Below are 22,696 nucleotides of genomic sequence, written 5' to 3'. Positions count from 1 at the left end.
GGAACGGGAGTTTTTAAAGGAAAATACGGTAATGGTGGATATAAGACACTATACATTTATCAAAAACCATAGACCTTTACTACAGAGTGAACCTGAATGTATGCAAATTTAAAAAAGAAAAACATTTCAGAGGTCAGGGAATCCCAAGATGGAATGCAGAACATGACAGAAAAAAAATCAACTATATTACAAATGTATGATTACAATCTCATTGAAGTGGAAAGAGGTGAAAACCTAAGTAGTCTTGCAAATAAGGAGTCTACGAAACTAAAAGCAAAAGAAAGTATCCAGTTAATAAATTTATTTTCCATGAGGGTAAGAGTTAACAATTCTGATGCTTATATACATGTATACATGAATTGAACAATTAAGTAAACGGATGTCAGGTGGTAGGAGACAGATTTCCCACTGTTGGGATGGAAATTTACAGATAAGCAAGTGGAGGGAGTTAGAATGACCTATGTGTTCATGGATTAGAGTTGGAGACATCAGTGTTAACTCAAGTTTTAACTTAATACAGACACAGGCAGCTGCGTATGGAAGTGTTTTCAGGTATGTAATACATAAGGTAGTATATACACATGTATGTTTCCTTGCTCTATGATCTGAGAGGGTCTAGAATAACACCTCTGTAGCAATGGGCATAGTTAACACTGAGATCTTGTAAAATAGAAGGAACCAGGGCTCCTTAGAGAAATGGCTGATTATTGGACTGACGCAGGAAATTAACATTAAAGTTGATCCTGGAGATCTTGTAATGCCAGAATGTAAGAAGCAACAAAACAAAACAAAATCATAAAGCAAAATAAGGAACCATGATAAGTTATGTCAAAGGAACACAGGAGCCAATTACAACAGCTCCCAGTGGCCAAACCTGGAAAATTTGAGCAAGCATTAATGTGCTTTGTGAAGTAAAGTGCTTTGTGCTTTGTGAGTGAAGAAATTCATCATAGATGTCTTCTAAATTACGTCCATCACTCCACCAGTCAGTAAAGTGCAGCTCTCCTAAGGACAGAATGTAGCTGTCTTTCCAGTGCTCACCATCATTACAATACAGTCATTTAAAAACAAGTGCTGTTTATATTGTCTTTGGACACCATAAGAATCCCAGAACCAACAAAGATGTGAGATGATCATAGACATGTAAAAGTGAAAAAGCAAAGCCCTGCAAAAAAAAAAAAACTGGACATAACTAAGAAAAACATTCTTTTCGCTACTCTTCAGCAAACAAACGCACCCTTAAATTCTATCTAAAGACCAATCAGTAGATGGATAATTTACATAAACAATTTGGTCTTCTAAATGACTTGCCCTGGAACCAGGAGTAGAAGCAATTTCTTGAATTTGAATAATCTCCAGTCTGAGTATTAAGAGTCTTCTATACACAAATTCACAGGGTAAACAACACTGAATTTTTTTCCAAATAAGGATATTACATCCATAGTTTTCGTCTTTAGTGGTATTTATTCTTTGCATAGGAGATTACTTGGAAAGAAGTACTACTAAAGCTAATGTTGTATTCTTCAAAAATGCTAGAGAGTGGATGTGAAGTGCTCTCACCACAAAAATGGTAACTATGTGAGGTAATGCATATGTTAATTGGCTAGATTTAATCATTCCACAATGTATATGTACTTCAAATTATTACATTGTGCAAGAAAATATGTATATAATTTTGTCAATTAAAAATACTAAATTTGAAAAAACAAAAATAAATTAAAAACTAAAACATTTTAATCTGAAACACCAACTTACCTATTTTTTCTATTTCATGGATTGGTACCTACAGTGTTTGTCTCAAAACTCCTCACCATATTCAAGGTTCCAGCAATTTTTCTCTGATGTTTTCGTCTAGGAATTTTACAGTTTTGTATTTTACATTTAAGTCTATTACCTATTTGAGTTTCATTTGGTAAATTGTGTAAGAGCTATGTCTAGGTTCATATTTAAGCATATAGACATCCCATTGTTACAGCTCTATGGCTTGAAAAGACCACCTTTCTCCATTGAAATGTCTTTGCACTTTCGCAAAAATGTTATATTTTGTTTGATTCTAATTCTGGGCTCTCTGTTCCATTGATCTATGTGTCTGGTGTTTCACTAATAGCATGCTGTCTTGATTGTTGTAGCTTTATAACAAGTTGAAATCTGATAGGTTAAGTTCTCCAACTTTATTCTTCTTTAATAGTATGTTGATTATTCTAGTTCAACTCCCTGTATAAATTTTAGAATCAGCTGGTTGATATCTACAAATAGCTTCTGGGATTTTGATTGGAATTTCATAGAATCTATAAACAATTTGGAAAGAACTGACATTGTTAAAATACTAAGTTCTCCAATTCATAAACATGGGACATCACTACATTTATTTAGATCTTTTTTGATTACTTAGAGTTTTGTAGTTTTCTACACGTAGAGTTTATACATTTTCTTAAGATTTATACAGAAGTATTTTTATTTTGGTGTATTGTAAATAGTAATTTCAAATTTCAAATTCTAATTGTTCTTACTTGTACATACGAAAGTAGTTGATTTTTGTATCTTGAATTTGTATCCTACAACTGTGTCCAAAATTGGTGGGTTCTTGGTCTCACTGACTTCAAGAATGAAGCCGCGGACCCTCGCGGTGAGTGTTACAATTCTTAAAGGTGGCCTGTCTCGAGTTTGTTCCTTCTGAGGTTCAGATGTGTTCGGAGTTTCTTCCTTCTGCTGGGTTCACAGTCTCGCCGGCTTCAGGAGTGAAGCTGCAGATCTGCACGGTGAGCGTTACAGCTCATAAATGCAGTCTGGACCCAAAGAGTGAACAGTAGCAAGATTTATTGCAAAGAGCAAAAGAACAAACCTTCCACAGTATGGAAGGAGACCCCAGTGGATTGCCACCATGGGCTGGGGCGGCCTGCTTTTATTCTCTTATCTGGCCCCACCCACATCCTGCTGATTGGTCCATTTTACAGAGAGCCGATTGGTCTGTTTTACAGAGAGCTGATTGGTCTGTTTTGACAGGGTGCTGATTGGTGCCTTTACAATCCCTGAGCTAGACACAAAAGTTCTCCATGTCCCCATTATATTAGCTAGATACAGAGGGTCGATTGGTGTATTTACAAACCCTGAGCTAGACACAGAGTGCTGATTGGTGCATTTACAAACCTTGAGCTAGATACAGAGTGCTGATTGGTGCATTCACAATCCCTTAGCTAGACAAGTATTCTCCAAGTCTCCACCAGATTAACTAGATACAGAGTGCCAGTTGGTGCATTCACAAACTCTGAGCTAGACACAGGGTGCTGATTGGTGTGTTTACAAACCTTGAGCTAGATACAGAGTGCTGATTGGTGTATTTACAATCCCTTAGCTAGACATAAAGATTCTCCAAGTCCCCACCAGACTCAGGAGCCCAGCTAGCCTCACGCAGTGGATCCAGCACAGGGGCCGCAGGTGGAGCTGCCTGCCAGTCCCGCGCCGTGGGCCCGCACTCCTCAGCCTTTGGGCGGTGGATGGGACTGGGAGCCATGGAGCAGGGGGCGGCGCTCGTCGGGGAGGCTCAGGCATGGCCGACTGCAGGTCAGGCGAGAAATCGAGCACAGCAGCTGCTGGCCCAGGTGCTAAGCCCCTCACTGCCCAGGACCAGCGGGGCGGGCCGGCTGCGCTGAGTGGGGGCCCGCCAAGCCCACGCCCACCTGGAACTGGCGCTGGTCTGCAAGCGCTTCGCGCAGCCCGGGTTCCCGCCCGCGCCTCTCCCTCCACGCCTCCCCGCAAGCTGAGGGAGCCGGCTCCCAGCCTTGGCCAGCCGAGAAAGGGGCTCCCACAGTGCAGCGGCGGGCTGAAGGGCTCCTCAAGCGTGGCCAGAGTGGCGCCAAGGCCAAGGAGGCGCTGAGAGCGAGCGAGGGCTGCTAGGGCTGCCAGCATGCTGTCACCTCTCACAGCCTTGCTATATACTCACTTATTTGCTCCAGGAATTTTGGTTTGTAGATTATTTATGATTTTATACATAGACAATCATGTTCCCTGGGAATAATAGTTTTCTGTCTTTCCAGTGTGTATATATATTTTTACAGCTTTATTGTATTAGAAAGGATTTTTTTTTTTTTTTTTTTTTTTTTTTTGAGACACAGTCTCGCTCTGTTGCCCAGGCTGGAGTGCAGTGGCGAGATCTCGGCTCACTGCAAGCTCTGCCTTCCGGGTTCAGGCCATTCTCCTGCCTCAGCTGGGACTACAGGCGCTGCCACTACGCCTGGCTAATTTTTTGTATTTTTAGTAGAGACGGAGTTTCACTGTGTTAGCCAGGATGGTCTCGATCTCCTGACCTCGTGATCCACCCTCCTCAGCCTCCCAAAGTGCTGGGATTACAGGCGTGAGCCGCAGCGCCCGGCCTGGAAAGGACTTCTAATACAATATTAAACAGAAGTGGAGAGACAGGATATTCTTGCCTTGTCTCCTACTTGGAAAGCGTCCAGTATCACTACTAAGTATGATGTTAGTTTTAGAAGTTTTGTAGATCTTTAAAAATCAAGCTGAGAAAGTTTTCATCTATTCCTAATTAGATGACAGTTTTATCACGAATGTGTGTTGGATTTTGTCAAATGCTTTACTGATGTCAATTGATATAGTCATATGAATTTTCTTCTTTAACCTCTATATTGGTGGATAACAATGATTAGTTTTCAAATATTGAATTAGCCTTCAATATCCGGAATAAATCTCATTTAGTCATGATGTATTTCTAAACATATATTGTACATAATTTGCTAGGTTTTTTTTTAGCATGTTTGCATCTATATTCATGAGAGATACTGGTCTGTATGTTTTCTTTCTTCAGTTGTCTTTATCTGGTTTTGGTATTAAGGTGATGATGGCCTCACAGAATGAGCTAGGAAGTATCCCCTTTAATCTATTTTCTAGAAGATATTATGGAGAATTGAAATTATTTTTTCCTTAAGTGGTAGAATTCAGAAAAAAAGTCACCAATAAAATCATCTGGGTCAGGTTCCTTCGTTTTGGAAAGATCACTAATTGATTAATCAAATTTATAAATAGATATAAATCTATTAAACTTGTTGATCTATCCTTGTTTTAAGTTTGGTAGTTTCTGTCTTTCAAGAAATTGGTCCATTTTAACTAAGTTATCAAATTTATGAGCATAGAATTGTTCATACTATTCCTTTACCATCCTTCTAATGTCTATGGGATATTATTTTCTCTTTTATTTCTGCATTAGGTACTTTGTGTCTTCTCTCTTTTTTCTTGGTTAGTCTGGCTATAAGTTTTTTAAAAATTATATTGGTCTTTTCAAAGAATAAGATTTTGGTTTTGCAGATTTTCTCTACTGCTTTCCTATTTACAATTTCAATAATTTCTGCTCTAATTTTGTATTATGTCCTTTCTTCTTCTTGATTTTGGCTTAATTTGATCTTTCTTAGTTTCCTGTGGTGGAATGTTAGGTTATCGCTTTTACATCTTCTTTTCTAAGATATGCTTTTAAAACTATAAATTTCCCCCTAAGGACTGTTTTTGTTACATATCACAAAGTTTAGTAAGATGCATTTTTATTATAATTTGGTATAAAATATTTAAAAATTTTCTGTCAAAGCTTATTTGACCCAATTGCTATTCATAAGTGTTTTGCTTGATCTCCAAATTTGGGGGATTTTTTTCAGCTCTCTTTCTGTTATTGATTTCTAATTTAATTTCTTGTGGTCTGAGGACATATGTTGTATCACTTCTGTTCTTTTAAGTTTGTGAGTTTTGTTGTTTCATCCAAAATGTGTTATACCTTGGTATATGTCCATGTGAGCTTGAGAAGAATGTGCATTCTGCTGTTGTTGGAAGGAATACTCTAAACATATCACTTCAATCAAGTTGATTGATAGTACTGTTCAGGTTGCCTATAGCCTCACTGACTTTTTGCCTGCATTGTCTATCAATTACTGGCAGGGGAATGTTGAATTCTCAACCATAGTAGTGGCTTTGTTTATTTATCTTTGCAATTCTATCAATTTTTGCCTGACATTTTTTGATGTACTGTTGTTGCGTGCATAAACATTAAAAACTGTTATGTGTTCTTGAAATAAATCTTGCACTTTCAAGGGTCACCCATATTTCAAAGTTCATTTATATTTGTTTTCCTACATGTACACATACACCCATAAATATTCTCTCAAACAGCTTTCTTCATAACCCATTCTCTACCATTGACCCTCGAGGAGCTGTTCCATCTTCCCTTTCTGTGTAGGTGTTTGCTCCAATCATCACACCAAATTATACATTACTGGCTAACATGACTCTTCAATGTTCAATTGATTCATAGCTTCATTGTACCTAGTGAGGTTATTAATAAATTATGCTGTACAATATGTTAGACAAATTCTATCTCATGCACAAATGTGTAAGACTGTGCCTTGAAGATTGATTCAATCCAAAAATAACATTCATTAAGATAAATGCAAGTGTATCACCCTCATGTTGGTGCTCTTCTTTACCAGGTTAGCAAAATCAGGAAAGGAGACAGTTGAAGTTGAATTGCCTAAGATGTATTTTTGCATTTAACATGAACACTTAATTTTTTTAAGTTAGCTTTCATTTCCAAAACTCCACATAAACTACTATAAGCACTTTTTTTGGAACATCTAAATATTTTCTGTTTTTTGATCAAGAAGATTAGTTAAAGACTTTCTTAAAGACTTGGGGGATGTTCATTTTAGAAGACAAAAAATAAAAGGGAAATCTAAAACTTTTTTTTCTTACCTTGCTCTTAAATCCTATTAGTATGATCCCAGGAAAACTGGGGGTGGTTATTCCTTCAGCTTCCCTTATTTCAAAGTTAGCATTGTTACCACTATTTTACAGATTCTGGTGTTTAAGCTCAGATGGTTCCCCTGTAAAAACTATTTCTGGAGTCTGTGGTTTTAGCCAAGAAATCTTTGTGTGCCATTCTTGTCACTTTTATACTGCAAGTTAAACAAATGTCCTAAAATGATTAATCATGCACTTTAAATAAGATATAAGGGCTAGATGATGATGGTAAGATATGAATTGGTTCACTCAGCAGAAATCAGAATAAAAACTGGAAGTATCGAAAATATAGTGGGAATTGAGCATAGGTGTGTTGCTCCTTCATCCCCAAATAGTTTTTATTTTCTATGACAAAATAACTTCTAAAAATAATCTAAAAATTCTATAATAGTACTGTCCACTGAGTTGAGGACGAATATGTGGATTACTGTTTTAAGACATATTTTGGAAGAAAAGATAAGCCATATGGCTAGTGGGAAATAAAGCAATATTTGGGTCCAGAAAAAAATGTATTTTCTTCTCTGTTACAAGGGACACGAACACCAGACTGTTAACTTTGGACTTTATCATAGCTATTGCAGCTAGATGAAAATGTCGGATGGATGAATGTTGAATAAATCCATATGCCACTGTCAAAATGCAGGAACTGGCTGTACCATGGACTTGCTCATAGGATCATGTTAAAAGTAGAAATTAAAGAGAAATTTAGAAAATCAACTAGACTATCAAATCTAATGTGTTCTTAATTTGCACACTTAAGTATTTATGGAAATTAAATTTTGGTTAACGCATAATATGTAATGAAATTCTTACAAAACGTAAATATCAGTAAATTTGGGCAAAACAAAAAACATCAAATTTTTAATCTTTTCTTTTGGGTTAGAAAGTGGAATAAAGATACTGATATTACAGTTCACAAATTAAAATATGTGTTTTTCTGTGTCTTAGTAATCACCGCCATAAAGATCAGAAAAATATTTAAACTCTCTCAAAAGTGTTTCTTTTCTTAATTAAAGGATAGCTATTGCATACTAAAGACAGGCTCTTTTCAAAATTATTTGGTAGAAGAGTCAATACATTGGAAGTCAACTAATAAAATCAGATTTGTGACAATTTCTACAAAGTTCCAAATTTCTCTACCTGCATAAACAGGGCATTTCTGCTTTGTTTATTTTGTGTCATTTTGAAAAGTTAATAAATTATGTCATAATCAAGTTGCTGATTGAGTTGGTCATTTGCTTCCTTTACAACTTTCTTTTCCTTGACGGGATTATTAATAGACTTTTAACCCTCTGAATGCATAATAACGTTCAGAACCTCAGCTTTCAAAGTAGCAAGTACCATGCTCCATAATCTCTAATCTAGCTAAAAGGCTCAAATTCTTTTATGAACTTAACTCAGTAGACAAGTCTCTAGTCAACCCCTTCAATGGGAAATGTGATCATAGGACATCCTAAAATTTGATTCCTATTTTAGCGTGCCTCCAGGTCCTGATCTAATCCAGAATAGGTCTAACCAAAGCTTTCACAGCTTCACTTTTAAGTTTTAAATGATTTTAAGTCCATGTAAATTTGGAAATTACTAACAGTTTAGGTCTAGTCAAGGATTCATCCAAACTGCTTTGCTATTTTTCTCAGGTTTTTCCCAATACCAGTATTATATCAATAGAAGCCAACTTCTGCTGCTCAGTACATGACATTCTATTTTAGTCATAAGGTATTAGTATATACAAACTCAATATCAAAAGATGGGGGCTTTCCCTTTTTGTAGGAAATGTGGACAAAGGTGATGTCATTCATTCCTATGGCTTTAAATTCCCTGTATTTATATCTCCAATCCAGACTTTTCTCTGTAGTTCAAGCTTCTATATTCAATTCCTACATGAACAACTCTCCTGGTATTTCAAATTTAACTTCTCTGAAATTAAATTCTTTCTTCCTGCCTCTCCACCCCAACTTGCTTCTGCTCCTCCCTCAGCCTCCAACTCCCAATCTGTTCCTCCCCCAAACATTTCTCTGTAAGTCAATGGCTTCACTAGCCTCACTACTAAAGCCAGAAACCATGTAGTCGTCTTTGATTCAATCGTTTCTCTCATCTGATACATGCAGTCCATCAGTGTATTAGTTCACTAGGGCTGCTATAACAAACTACCATAGGCTGGGTGGCTTATAAACAACAGGAATTTATTTCTCACAGGTCTGGAGGCTGGAAAGTCCAAGATTAAGATGCTGGCAGATGTGATGTCTAGTGAGACTCCTCTTCATAGATGGCCATCTTTTCAGCGTCCTCACATGGAGGAAGTGGCAGAGGAGCTCTGTGAGGCCTCTTTCATGAAGGCACCAATTCCATTCATGACCAGCTCTCCTTTCATTACCTAATCAGCTCCCAAAGGTGCCACTTCCTAATACCATCACCTTGGGGGTTAGGATTTCAACATATGGATTGTGGGGTGGGGGCAGGGGGGTGGAGGAGATACACATTCAGGAAGCTCTATTCTTTCTTTAAACTGTATCTTCAACCCATCACTTCTCTCCCTCTACCTCCTCTGTTAATACTCTAATCTATCGCCGTAATAGTTCATCTAAGCTACTACTTCAACTATCACCATTTTTTCTAGCTGGTCTTCCTGCTTTCATGCTTGTCCCTTTCCAATCCTTTCTCCTCAAAGTGGCCAGTGACACTAATAAAAATGCATATCATATCATATAATTCTCCTGCCTGAGATATCTTACTGGTTTTCCACTGGACCAATAAAATATAAGCACTTATCAATAAAATGTAAGCAATGCCCTACAAGATCTGGCTGCAGAAGTCTACTCAGATCTCACGTTCTACCTTTCTCTTTCAAGCTCCAGTTGCCTTGGCCTTCTTTCTATTCCTCAAACATGCCAAGAGTTCTTTTACGTTAGGACCTTTGCGCTTTGCCTATAGTTCACCTTCCTGGCTTCACATAATTGACTCCTTTGAATCTTCAGGTCTCATGATAAATGTTACCTACTCAGAAAGATCTTCCCTAAGCTCATCAAGTCTCTCTACCTTGTCACTGTTTTCTCTTATGCTGCTATTTTTCCCCCTCCCAGCACTTACATAAAGCTCTAATTATTTATTTCTTGCTTTGTTGTCTGCTGTCCTTAGAAGAATTTATGTTCCATGAGATGGGAACCATGCATATACATCTGTCTTGCTGAGGACGTTAACCCTAGAACCTGTGAGAGTAACTGAAGCTTGGTTAATATTTGTTTAATAAAAACCACAATTATTTGAAGGAATGAAAGCTTGTTTATTCTTTGAACATGGATTTTCTGATTACAGATTCTATGTTGTTTGTACTCTAACATTTTGCTGATGAACACATAGTGTTGTGTAAATATTTGTGATTGATAATAAAGTGCAAGATTTTCTGGATTTTTAAAATGTCATTTACAAACTGACCATGAAGTTGGAAGAAATTTTACTTCTATAACAAAAATCATATTGATGATAGCCCACGTTTTGGATTATTTTAAATTAAAATATAAGTTTCACATACCTTTTTGCCTTCCTCTTCCTCTCTTTTCTTCCTCTGCCTGCCAGGCAGACAGGACCCCTGGGCCCAGATTGGGGATTGGCATTCAGAAGGGGTGAAGAAAAACATTTCGGAGAGATATGCTTTGTAGCCAGGCAATTCTGAGGAAAGTGTCCTGGGAACATACCAGGTTAAATCCCAGGCAGCCTGTTCACATGAACCATATAGCTGAGGAAGCAGCTCAGGATGACCCTGAGATGGGGCTGGTCAGACCTGACTCTAGAGAAGTTCAAAGAAGGAAAATTAGTCCAGAGTAAGTTGCTGAAGCAGATTTTAGATTTTTGTTAGGTGCCTACCTTCCTAGGTGGACAAGATATGGTTGAAGGTGTTGGCTCAGCCAGCACAACTAATAATGGGTGCAAGTACAGAGCATATTACACTTTGGGTTCCACTGAAAACAAGAGAATCTGCAGGGCTCTGAGACTTAGGACCCTTGAAATCTTTGAACCCTGTATTCCTTTCCTCCAATGCAAACAGTCTTTCAGTAGTTAATCATTTACCTTTTCTTCTTAAAAAGAATGTATTTCATATAATCTATTTCATTTTGTGGGGTTTTTGTGCTTGTATATCAAATCTAGTGAATACAAGTGGGGGTTGATGACATATTTATCTTCTGGGAGTTCTGTATGTCTAGGGTGTTCTAGTTGCTATGCATTAGGGTGTCAAGTATAGTTATAAATACAATGAACACATGTGTGTGTGGTAAAGCCCTGTCATTTCCTTAAGACGGGGGACCAACTTCAACCAAACACTACCCAGCAAAAGCCAACAAGAATGGACAAAGATTATGCCTACCTTCTTCCTTCCTTCCCTTACTCTTGTTCTCCTTCTTTCATTAATTTATTAACTCAATTTATTAAGCACTTACTGTGCACATTGTTCATTGCACAAAACAAGAAAAAAGACATAAACTTTCAAGGGTTTTCCAATTAAGATTTTATTTGACCAACAAAACATACTCATATGAAAATATAAATAAGGTAAAAGGAGCAGTGTAGTCATTATGATCTAAAACAATATTTTTCAAATTGTAGGTTGCCAGTCATTCTTTGCTGGGTCATAAAATAAATTTTTTTGGTTGGGACTATACTTTACCAAATAATAATAACAAAATCAACAGGAGAGAAAAAGGCAAATATCAGTGTATATTGCAGGTAATAAAATAGATGTTTTCATAAAATTTTTGCAGAACAAATGTATGTATGCACTACATGTCAATGTAAAGTGTATGGCTTACTACAAGACAGGGCTAAAAAATGTTTGAAAGACACAATACAGATGATTATAGAAGAAAGTTAATATTAAGTTGAATGATTAAGGAAGGTTTTTGGAGGCTGAAAGTACATAAATAAAGCTTAGAGGGGATGGGATGCCTTTTTAGATGAAAAGCTGCATAAAATAGTTCTATAATTGTGAACTATAACCATATGAGAAAGTGAATTCTATAGAACCAGCTTATTCTTGAATGACTACCCCAGGACCAATTATCTTTCCAGAAACTTCCAGGAAACACATGACCAATATCTAACTAAATTGAGCTCTGATGCCACAAAGGGAAACTTAACAGAGTTGCTCCTGTGAAGTATACCCCACTAGAAGGGTGGTTCAGGATATCTTCTGTCCAATTGCGTGTTTCAAATATTTATGTATTTAAGATATTAAGATTTTTTTAATGTGAAATATCTAAAGATTCACCTCAATAAATTGAAAGTGATATTTTTCCCCTGAGTCCCTTGTATTAGATTCACTTGTGACTTCATTGGACAGTGTCTTCTCTGAGCTCTATGGTCTAATACGTATTGAACAAAAATTCAAGGACTCAACAACTGATTTATTTTAGCATTTCTTTTTAATACAAAAGAAGGAAATAAAAGAATAAAAGCAGTCGGGGTGGCCTCTGGAGAAGGGGAGCTGTTGTTGCAGGAATCTTGCAAGTTAATGAGAATTCACCCGGGACTCAAGAGGGATGGAGAGAGGGGGAGAAAGGAGATGGGGGAATGGGGTGGGGGGATAAAAACTCTTCCTTTGCAGCTGGCCCTTTCCCTCATTTGTTGCTCCAATAAGCAGTAATTAGGTCCTGAGCTAATGGTGTCAGCTGATCTGCTGTTTTTAGGCTAGACCCAGAGGAATCTCCATGGAAACCCTGCTGGAGTCGTCCCCCCACCTGGATGCTGCGTGCTCCTTTCTGCCACCTGGCTGCCGCCGGGCCCGCTGCTACCTCCTTCTGCCTCTAACCTGCAGCCTGCAGCATGCGCACTGCCCCCGGGATCCCTAAATGGGACAATTCTGCCCGTGACGTCAGCGCCCAGCCGTCTCCACAGAAACTTTTGTCCCATTGGCCAATCAGAGAGCTTGGAAGGGGCCGGGGAGGGTGGGGGAAGGAGAGGGGAGTGGGAGGGGTGGGGGTGAGGGGAGAGGCGAGAGGTTTAGCGTGTGGAGCTGCCTGCGCTCCGCCCGGGCTGTCAGTCCCGGCTCCAGCCGCCGCGAGACCTTCCCGGAGACGCGCGCACACACAGCGCACCCCCTGCACACCGCACACCCTCGCTCCCTTGCTCACACACACGCACACACTCAGCCTGGCCGAGCAGGAGCCACTGACCATTTTGCAAGTGTCAGGACCAGCTACAGCGCGGTGGGCGCAAACATCCCGCTTTCCCTTTCCGGGATTTAGTCTGGGAGACGACGACGAGGGAAGAAGGTGGGCTCGGACGCAGCCCAGGCGCCGGGCACTGGTCGGGCCGTTTTCCTGGCAGAGCCGCTCCCCGGGACGGGCGCGGGCCTCGGGTGAGAGTAGAATAAAGAGGAGCGGCCGCAGCCGCCGCGCGAGGAGGATGGGAACTCCCCTATTTCCAGCTCTGGAAACAAATGGATGGAAGTCCTGAATGGAGCAACTGCTGACTTCATCTGCTTGGAAAAATAGTCCAGAGGAACTCATATTTGGCTACTCAGAGCAGTGGAGGGGGTGTCCATGACGTGGCAGGGGGAAAATAGACAACTGAAACCTCCCGTGTGAACTGCAAACTGTGACCAAGCAAGGGGAAAATGATCTTTCTGTATATATTTTAATTTCGTGCAAAGGTTTTCAAGCATCTGTATCCTAAACTTACTTCTATGTCTTGTTCAGCAGAAACCAGAGGAGTCCTGTCTGGGGGTCCCATCATTATTCGGGATACCCGCCGCCAGCGGCCTGCCTTCGGTTACCCACATCCCCCTGGAACGGATATCTGTTTGGGGCACTACAATCTATCCTGTAGAACTATGGCCAAATCTCCATCAATGCTTTGCTAATTTCTGGGACTTAACTCGTAGAATCTACATACAGGGCTGGAATTTATTCAAAATGCATCTGAAGAAATGACATTTTAAACCGTTTTAAAAAATATCTTGATAAAAAATTCTGTAAAACAGAATTTGATAGGTTTAAAAACATGACAGGTAAGAACTTTCTCTTTCTAGTCCCTTAACACCCGTCGTGGGGAAGGTCAAAGCAGGACCCAGGAGGAAGGAGAGATCCGGGACCCGTGTGCCCTTCGGGGCTCAAAGGCGCTGGGCGGGCGGCTGCTTTCGGGAGAGGCGCAGCCCTCACTCCTGGACCACGGGGCCAGTGGCTGGGGAAGCTTCTGGGGCGCGCGCGGGGAGGCGGCGCTGCGCTCCACCTGCCCAGCCCCGGACGCAGCCCGGGGGCGAGGCGTCTAGGGACCACCCCAATTCAATATTGGGATTTTTAATAAACCAAGGAATGGGATTTTAATTATTGAAAACCCAGCTCCTCTGGGCCAGAATGGTGTTGGGATGGTCCTGGTCACAAAATATTAAAGAGACCGACCGCTAAGGGAACAGGAAAAACGTCCGAGACAGCCGTTGCAATTACGAATGGACCAGACTTGGTAGCACGGGGCATTGATTGCTGGTGCCCAACCGGACCCTCCTCCCCTCTTCCCATCCCTTCCCCCACCCAAAGCAGGCTCCCGCTGCGGCCGGGACCTCGCATCCCTGCAACGTGGCCGGGGCTGCATTTTTCATGAGCCTAGGGTGAACAGGTGCGAAGTGCGCTGGGAGCATCCGGCCAGCGGCCGAGCGCGGGGAACATGGAGAGCGAGCGCGACATGTACCGCCAGTTCCAGGACTGGTGCCTCAGGACTTACGGGGACTCAGGCAAGACCAAGACGGTGACCCGTAAAAAATACGAACGGATCGTCCAGCTCCTCAATGGCTCCGAGTCGAGCTCCACGGACAACGCCAAATTTAAATTCTGGGTCAAATCGAAGGGCTTCCAGCTGGGCCAGCCGGACGAGGTCCGCGGGGGAGGCGGCGGCGCCAAGCAAGTGCTCTACGTGCCTGTCAAGACCACGGTGAGTGACTCGCCTTCCTCTGTTATTTGTCTGCCGGAGCAGCCCGGCGGGGAGGGAGGAAGGAGAGAGGCGGGAGAGAGGGGGAGCCGTGAGCCGCCGTTGGCTCGTGTGCCCCCTACCTTCCTCAACCCCCTCCCCAAGTCGTCCCCACTCGCATTAGCCAGGCGCGTTTTCCCCACTGTACAGTCTTTGTGGTCCTTTATTTTAAAGCGGCAGCGCACCTCCAGAGCTGGCCTCCCTCCCCGCCTCGGGTTCCCGGACCGGCTGCAGGAGCTTCCTTCCCCGGGTCGGGCGGCGGCGTCTGGCGTCCTCGGGCTGGGCCATTGTCCCATGTCCTTCTCTGGGCGCCTGGCGCGTGTCCCACCGCCGCCACCGCGCCTAAAGGCCAGGCTGGAAGCCCGGCCGCACGCTCTGAGAGCAGACGAGTCTGATCGATAGTCTACAGTGTCTCCTTATTGGCATAAAGCCCGAATGTAGCGCTAGCGGTGGATGTGGGGTTTTCCCCAGGACACTGTCAGGTTTTATCGTTAGATCGCTGCCCGGGAGGCACGGGGCAGCCCGAATGCCTCGATCACTCCCAGAGATCGTTGCCGCGACTGTTGAGATTGTAGATAAGGTCCTGGAGATTCCTCCTCCCCGCCCCCCCATTCCCTTCCTCACTTCCCTCTTCCACAAATAAAGCCGCAGCTAGAAGATGAACAACAAAGAAAGATGGGTTTAGGCGCTATCGAATGGTGTGTGTATTTGTTCCTTTTTCTGGGGTGGCTCTAGTCTCATGGCCACAAAGCTCTAGCCCAGGCGCCGCGAGGCACTGGCATTGAGAGCCCAATGCATCTCAGCCTCACGCTGCAGAAGCCAGTGGGGCTGGGGAGCCGCAGCAGCGTCGATTTTCTTCACAAGAAGATGGGAACTGTGGGCTACAAGTAGGATGGCAGATCTGATGCAGGAGACCTTTCTGCATCATGCCACGGTGGGTACTCGCCTGGAGTAGGGATGGGGGAGGCTATCTGGCATCCTTTGTATTTTTGCCTCGCTTTGGGGTTTCTTGAGCATTTCTTCCTTTCCCCCCTCCTGTACTGGCAACTGTTTCCCGGTGCAGTATTCCTGGAGGATGCTAGAAAGGAGACGCTTTGAAAGCTATTCTATCTCTAATGGAGGTATATTATATTGAATTGAAAATATGTGCATGAAAAGTTTTTTTTAAAGCATTATTTGGAAGGGTCTTTTAGGTTTGGAAATCAGTTTATGGTTTCCTGAGATTAATTAGAAATAGTTGTTTGAAGGATGTATATTTATTTTAGAATTTATATAGAAATTGGGAACCAAAAGTAAAAGTGAAATGGAAACACATATAAAAGTTCTGTGGTGGTTTTTTTTTTTTTTTTAACAATGTACTATTGTTGGGAGATTTCTAAGAGTTGGACCTATAAAGGTGTCTTCTCCTTTAGCATGTGGCACTACTAAAGACAATGGTGAGATTATTGTCTGGCTTTCCTAAATAATGAGGACTAGATTGGCATGATTTAGAACTGAGGTTTATTTACATCTGGATGAGCCAGAAATCTGATATACAGAATGAAGTGCTTTGATTAATTTGTATTGGGAATAATATCAAGAAATGATGTAGAAAAATAATTTATTGTTAGAATTCAAAACATAAACATGCATTTTCCTTTGGACAAAACTGAGCTAACTGAATGGATAAAATCATTTAAGATATCTTTACTTAAGGTATTATTTCATAATATCATGTATGTTTTAAAGAAACACTGTTAGTTGGGAAGTTTATTTTTCATTCCTTTTATGTTAAACTTAGGTCCCTCTAACTGTCAGATAGCTTCACGTGGATATTGGTACAATGAGTTTATACTCATATGGATTTGACTACACCCACTATATGTGTTAACATATGTGTCCTTTTAAAGGATTGACTATTTTAAATAACATAAATTCTGAACAATTTTAGAGATACTAAGATCATCATAAATGTCAGTTATTCAAACTAGCATTCACGCATTCATATACCACTATTTTCAGTCAAAAATTTATGCAGAATAGCTAAAGAATTACTGCTAAGACATCTAGTATAGAGTGACAACTTCAGGGATAATATTAAAGTAACACGTGTTTATTCAGTAAAGATTCCATATATTTATGGGAGAGAATATAATTCATCAGGTGATTGTTAGATAATGGTTCTCATGTAGTATTTAAGAGCTCTGCTTTTCATTCAAGCCTGTTTTGAAATATTGAAGAGGTTTTTAATTTATGAACTCGTCTATTGCTCTTTATAAAATTTTTATACTGCTCCCGACATAGAATTATAGGCTCCTCCTTCTCTGAGAGACAGCCAATCATCATTTCAATGAGTTAAAAAATAAAGGATCCCCTTTTATCATGTGTTTCCCTACATTTCAAATTATTCCTTCCTTAATGATACATTGATTTTTCTTTCCGATGGTAGGAGTACAGTCACCAAGAAGACAAAAATATATTTTCTCTTAATTCCAAGGCATATATTGATCAAAATAAAATACTGTATTTGAATGGTATTTTCGTGCAGACTAAGAATCATTCTTAGCTGCTTGAGGTTTGAGGGTTCACGGCTGGCTTTGCTGTCAGTAAGAGATGCTTTGCTCCTGATGTTGCAGTAATCCACTGCTGCTGATAATTAGACATCATTACTACTGCGAAAAGGGAAAGAGAAAAGGGGAGAGGACAGGCTGAGGCTAATTATCTACTTTAGTTTAATGAAAGAAAGAGAGACTGATGGCACCTGGGAGGTTATACTAGAACAGAGTAGACACACCACATAGACTTAATTGAAACAAGACTATCTTTAAGTCTCATAGTTAAAGAAGCTTGGTTCTACTCTTATTTTCCCAAAAGAAATATAGCTTTCCAACTACTCTTCCCCCTAAAGCCTAAACTTAACTGATGATAAAATCGAGCAAGTTACAACTGACTTAAAATAAAAATATTGACTACTGGAAAGGATAAATATGTCCTTTAATATTTGTCCTGGTCATGTCTAAACCTGAGGGGACATATCTGCCACTGATGTTTAGACTGCTTTTTGATGGAGTAGATACTGTTTGGTCACCAAGCAACAACATCCGGCAACTCAGCCATTTTAGGTCTGGTGTGGGACCTGTGCTTTTGCGAGCCCGCCTGCACTGCACACTCACGCGCACGCGCATATGCAGTTTGTTGAGCAACCCATCTGCTTTTTAGATAGTACCACTGTTATTTTTATACATTCTTTCATTAAAAGTGTCAGAAATTTAGAAGAATGAAATGATGAATGACTTAAAACAGTTCCGAAAACGATATAGCAAATGGTTGACATTGATTACATCCAACTTTTAAGCAGCGATAGTTTTAAATTCACTTAACTATGGTAACTCTGTTTTACACATTTGGTAGTTCCAGTGTAGTTTGTTTTTAGAAGCTTTTGATCCTGATTAACGTTTTCTGGCAACAATTAGTGGAAACATCACACTTGCAGTTTAAACTACCAGAACACATTATACCATTTGATATTGTGAATGGTAAACTTAGAAAAGGAGAAAATTTATTAAACGCTCTTTTTAAAAAGTCCTCTGCATTGTATAAAACATTAGGAATTTGGTAAGCTCATGTTTTTGTCTTTCAGTATCAAGCAAAGAAAGTAATGAATATGAATATTGAAACTGTATAATCAAAAGATGTAATACTTTTCTTAACCTATATTTGTAGGAACAGACACAAAGGTCTAAATTATGCCTTTCTTATATATATTTCTTTCTTATATTTATTCCAATACAGGTCTTAAATGAATTTCCATCCAGAAAGGAAAATGCATTATCTTTAGTTGTGCTATTTACAAATGATGATTTATTCAGTTCTGCAATCTGTAGCCTCAGATTTCATATTGTTCTTGCTGTGCATACTACTAATTGATTACTGTACAGTGATTATAATGAATATTCATGGACTGACTCATAAACAGTAACTGTTTTTGTTATTTTTCTGACTGTGGTTTTGGTCATAAATCCTTTATGCTACATCAGAGTGAAAGAAATAATACCCCATGAGGAGTCCTGTATACCTTTCCACCTGGCCTAACTTTATGCCTAAGGCACCTATATTAGGCCTTGATCTGGAATCTGCTACAGACCCAGTTATTTATCATGATACTTTGTATCTATGACACAAAGACAAATCATCATAGTGGTCACTGAGATGGAAGCACATTTTTGCTTCTATAGTGGACATTGCTGTTGATAGCCCATGCATTTTTCTTTTCATTAAAGTACTTTGGGAGATCCTGTAGCATAGGATTTGGGGGTCAAATAGATCCCGAGAATGAATATCAGCAATGTGGCTTATTAGCTGACTTAGTGATTCTTTGTGGAGTTGTGAAGAATAAATCATCTATGACAAGTCCCCAGCATAGGTCAGCTCGCAGGGAACAGTGGGGACCAGTAGTAAAGGCCATTCTGGCTTGAGTATTAAGGGGCAGGAGATTTCCTCTGAATATAAAGAGGAAATATGACCCTGTTCGTGTATGAAGACTATCCCACACTTATTTCTTGAGATACCAGTTTTTTATTTTTCCGTTGGTTCTTCCTTGTCCTATTAGTAGCCACAATAGGGAGATGGGGCAAGATTTGGCACTCGTATATATTTCTTCTGTAATCTTCCTTAGTTTGCTGGGATCCTGCTCCCTACGGGTTTACTCTCTAGACTCACTGCATAAGACGGAGGAATGATGAAGTAGAAAATACAGGCATATGGCAGGAGAACTTTCAAGGACTTTAATTTTGTGTCAAGTCTATAAAGACCTTTTCCTAATAGCTGTTGTGTTTGCTAAGACTTTCACTCTTTGTTTTTTGTTTTTTTTTTTTTGGTCTAACTGGGAAAGATGAATGTGAATCTACTATGTTTTAGGTTATATTCATTTTTACAATCTTTATATAACAAGATAAAACAAACTTCATGGATAGCATAGATGGCAAGAAACATGGCATAGTGAGTAGAGTGTTGATTTTACAGCACAATTTAAATCCTGGCTCTGACGTTTACTGGAGTTCTGGGTCGGCTAAAGTTTAACTAAAGATGCAGTTTCCTCTTGTAAAATGTTAGTATTAATACTAGTCTTACTAGTTTTGCATAGTTAGTAGTGTATATAATATATACTAACATATACTATATATGCATATGCACACATATATACACATACATATACACACACATACACACAAGCATGTGGTATATGTAGCATATGCCGGGGACATAGTAAATGCTAAAAAAAAAAGTTGCTTAAAATATGATTCATAGAACATGAAAATCACGATGTAATTATAATTAGGTATATTTTATGAACTCAAAATCACATTGCAACACGGAGCTAAAATACAAGGTCAAGCGCGGTGGCTCATGCCTGTAATCCTAGCATTCTGGGAGGCTGAGGCAGGCGGATTGCCTGAGCTCAGGAGTTTGAGACCAGCCTGGGCAACACAGTGAAACCCCATCTCTACTAAAATACAAAAAAAATTAGCTGGGTGTGGCCATGTGCCCTTGTAGTCCCAGCTACTCGGGAGGCTGAGGCAGGAGAATTGCTTGAACCCGGGAGGCGGAGGTTGCAGTGAGCCGAGATCGCACCATTGCACTCCAGCCTGGGCAACAGAGTGAGACTCCATCTCAAAAAAAATAAATAAATAAAAAAAAAGAAAGAAATACAAGGTATACTTGTATGTATTTATGTACATATGTATTATTAAGATTTATTCTACCTACTCCATTTTTGGAAGAAAAAATGACTGTTATTGTAAAAGTGATACTGTCTCAGTTTTTTAAAAAAGTTAAATGAAAAGGAAAGAAATAAAGAAAAAGTCATACCAAATGTCCCATCAAAATATAATCACCGTAAGCTAATTATGAACATCATTCTAGATTCCTCTCTAGAAATATATGCCAAAAGAAGAGTCGATAAAATGACTGATAGTTGCATATGGACAGGCAGAAATAATTTTCTAAAACTAGGATGATGATGATATGCTAATTTAAGTAAGAATAAGAAAATATAAGATTGTCAATGCGACAAAAGAAGAAATACATAAAATTTAATGAATTGCTAATAGATAAATGTTTCTTCTCAAAGATATTTATTCCTGAAGTTAATGGAAAAGATTAAGAAAAACTTTAAGATGTTGAATTACACTTATTTTACCAATTACAAATTTCCGTTTTATAAGTATTATTGACTTTCTCTAATGATAAATGAGAAGCATATTTTCACTTCTTCCCACCTCCTTGTTTCTTAGATCCTGGTTTACATTTCATTTCACTTATTATATTATACTTATTATATATTATAATTTATTATATTCATTATATTATAATTATGTTTGTGTTGTCAGGGTTGTTGATATTAATGTTAAATTATGTAATTTCATTTTAAACATTATTTTCCTATTTAAATGTTTATTATCTGTTTTGTTATCTGGTTTCCTTTACCTCTGAATTCCTTGATTTGATTGACTCTAATTACAGTTTATCATTTTTTTCCTAAAGTAGGTCCATGCACTCTATTCTTTGAATTTTATATACAATTGAGAGTATTTGTCTTTTACCTTTATCCTTGAAGGACAACTAACCAGATGCAGATTCTGTATTTTACTTTTTCTCTCAGAACATTATAGATATTGTGTGTGCTCTGTAAAATTCTAAGGCAAATTGATTTTCCCAAATTTCATGAATTGTTTACTTCTTTATCCTTGAAATTAAATTATTTTGCTAAGATATATTTGAATTTCTTGTCTAACTCTATATTTTGTCCTGCGTAACTGTGCCCCTGTTTATGACTTCAGTTAGGCCTGTGTTCTGGTGACATAATGTATATCTTCTGAAGTCTAAATCTGTACAGTTGATCCTTGAACAACACAGGTCAGGATTGCCTGGGTCCACTTGTATGTGGATTTTTTTCAATAAGTATTTGGAAAATTTTTGGAAATATATAACAATTTGAAAAAACTCTCAGATAAACTGCATAATCTAGAAATATAAAAAATCTAAGAAAAATATATGCCATGAATGCTTAAAATCTATGCAGGCACTAGTCTATTTATGGCTTAATAGACTATCTTTTTGCTAAGGCTTGCAGTCAACAGTAGACTATTAGTAGTTAAGTTTTGGGGGAGCAAAATTATATGCAGGTTTTCAGGGGCAGAGGGTGTCAGTACACCTAACCCCAGGTTGTTCAAGGGTCAGCTGTATTTTCGATTTTCTATTGGGTGTTTTCACCAAGATATCCCAAAATATCTCAAATTAAGTATGTCTAGAAACACATTTTTCTTCCTTCCATTTTCCCATCCGAGGTCCTCCGAGCTGACACATCTTTTTCTTATTCCCTCTCTCCATGGATAGCAGCACAACTTTACTTACCTGTACAAGGTGAAATTTGTATGGCAGCCTTGATTTCTCCCTCTTATAGTCAATGTTCAACTGTTGGTTGATTCTACTAAACTAATATTTCTTGAAGCCATCAGATTCTCACCATATAATAAAATATGCCTATTGCTTAATAATTTGTTAAATTTCCACAAAACTATTTTGAAGAAAGATTTAATCTCCAGTACCTGGCATAATGGGTGATGCATTTTGATGTTCAGTATTAATGGAATAAATAAAAATCACTTCCCAATCTGACATGACATAATGGGACATTATACAACAGCTTCTTATTTACCACCACACAAGAGCTTTTTAGTTTTATCTACATCTATATCTATCTGTCCAACTGTCCATCCATCCAACTATGTGTTTTAATTGTGATAAAAAAAACACACAACATAAAAGTTACCATATTAATCATTTTACATTGTAGACTTAAGTAGTGTTAAGTATATTCACATTGTCTTGCAACAGATCTCCAGAGCTTTTTCATCTTGCATAACAGAAACTATATTATACAACAGTTCCCCTTTTTCCTTTCTCTCCATCACTT

At 39.1% G+C, this 22,696-nt stretch overlaps 1 protein-coding gene across 25 annotated transcripts in view, besides 1 other annotated feature; it reads left to right on the top strand.

Annotated features, from left to right (window-relative positions):
- Nucleotides 1-12,782: 12,782 nt before the first annotated feature.
- The window catches only part of NOL4 (nucleolar protein 4), a 373,814-nt gene continuing 363,900 nt past the window's right edge, over nucleotides 12,783-22,696 (top strand). For 10 of the 25 annotated variants that reach the window (XR_935261.4, NM_003787.5, NM_001384473.1 and 7 more), the window contains exon 1: nucleotides 12,783-14,706. Coding sequence is in view for 15 of the 25 variants with exons in the window: in NM_003787.5 (NP_003778.2) it covers nucleotides 14,443-14,706 (264 nt within the window). In the remaining 10 variants the exon portion in view is untranslated. Of the gene's footprint in view, nucleotides 14,707-15,225; nucleotides 15,677-22,696 lie in introns of those variants that run through there. The other 15 variants (NM_001198548.1, NM_001198546.1, NM_001353232.1 and 12 more) reach the window with 7 other exon arrangements.
- Nucleotides 15,048-15,549: an enhancer, noted in NCBI's record as "H3K4me1 hESC enhancer chr18:31802111-31802612 (GRCh37/hg19 assembly coordinates)". NCBI's record gives its function as "activates a minimal SCP1, AML or CMV promoter by ChIP-STARR-seq in naive H9 embryonic stem cells {active_cell/tissue: H9 hESC(naive)}" and the evidence as "EXISTENCE:reporter gene assay evidence [ECO:0000049][PMID:30033119]".

The sequence above is a fragment of the Homo sapiens genome, chromosome 18 (genome assembly GCF_000001405.40).
Source record: "Homo sapiens chromosome 18, GRCh38.p14 Primary Assembly".
NCBI classification, from domain to species: Eukaryota; Metazoa; Chordata; class Mammalia; order Primates; family Hominidae; genus Homo; species Homo sapiens.
The sequence above is the reverse complement of the archived record's forward strand: the minus strand, read 5'-3'. Positions and strand labels throughout refer to the sequence as shown.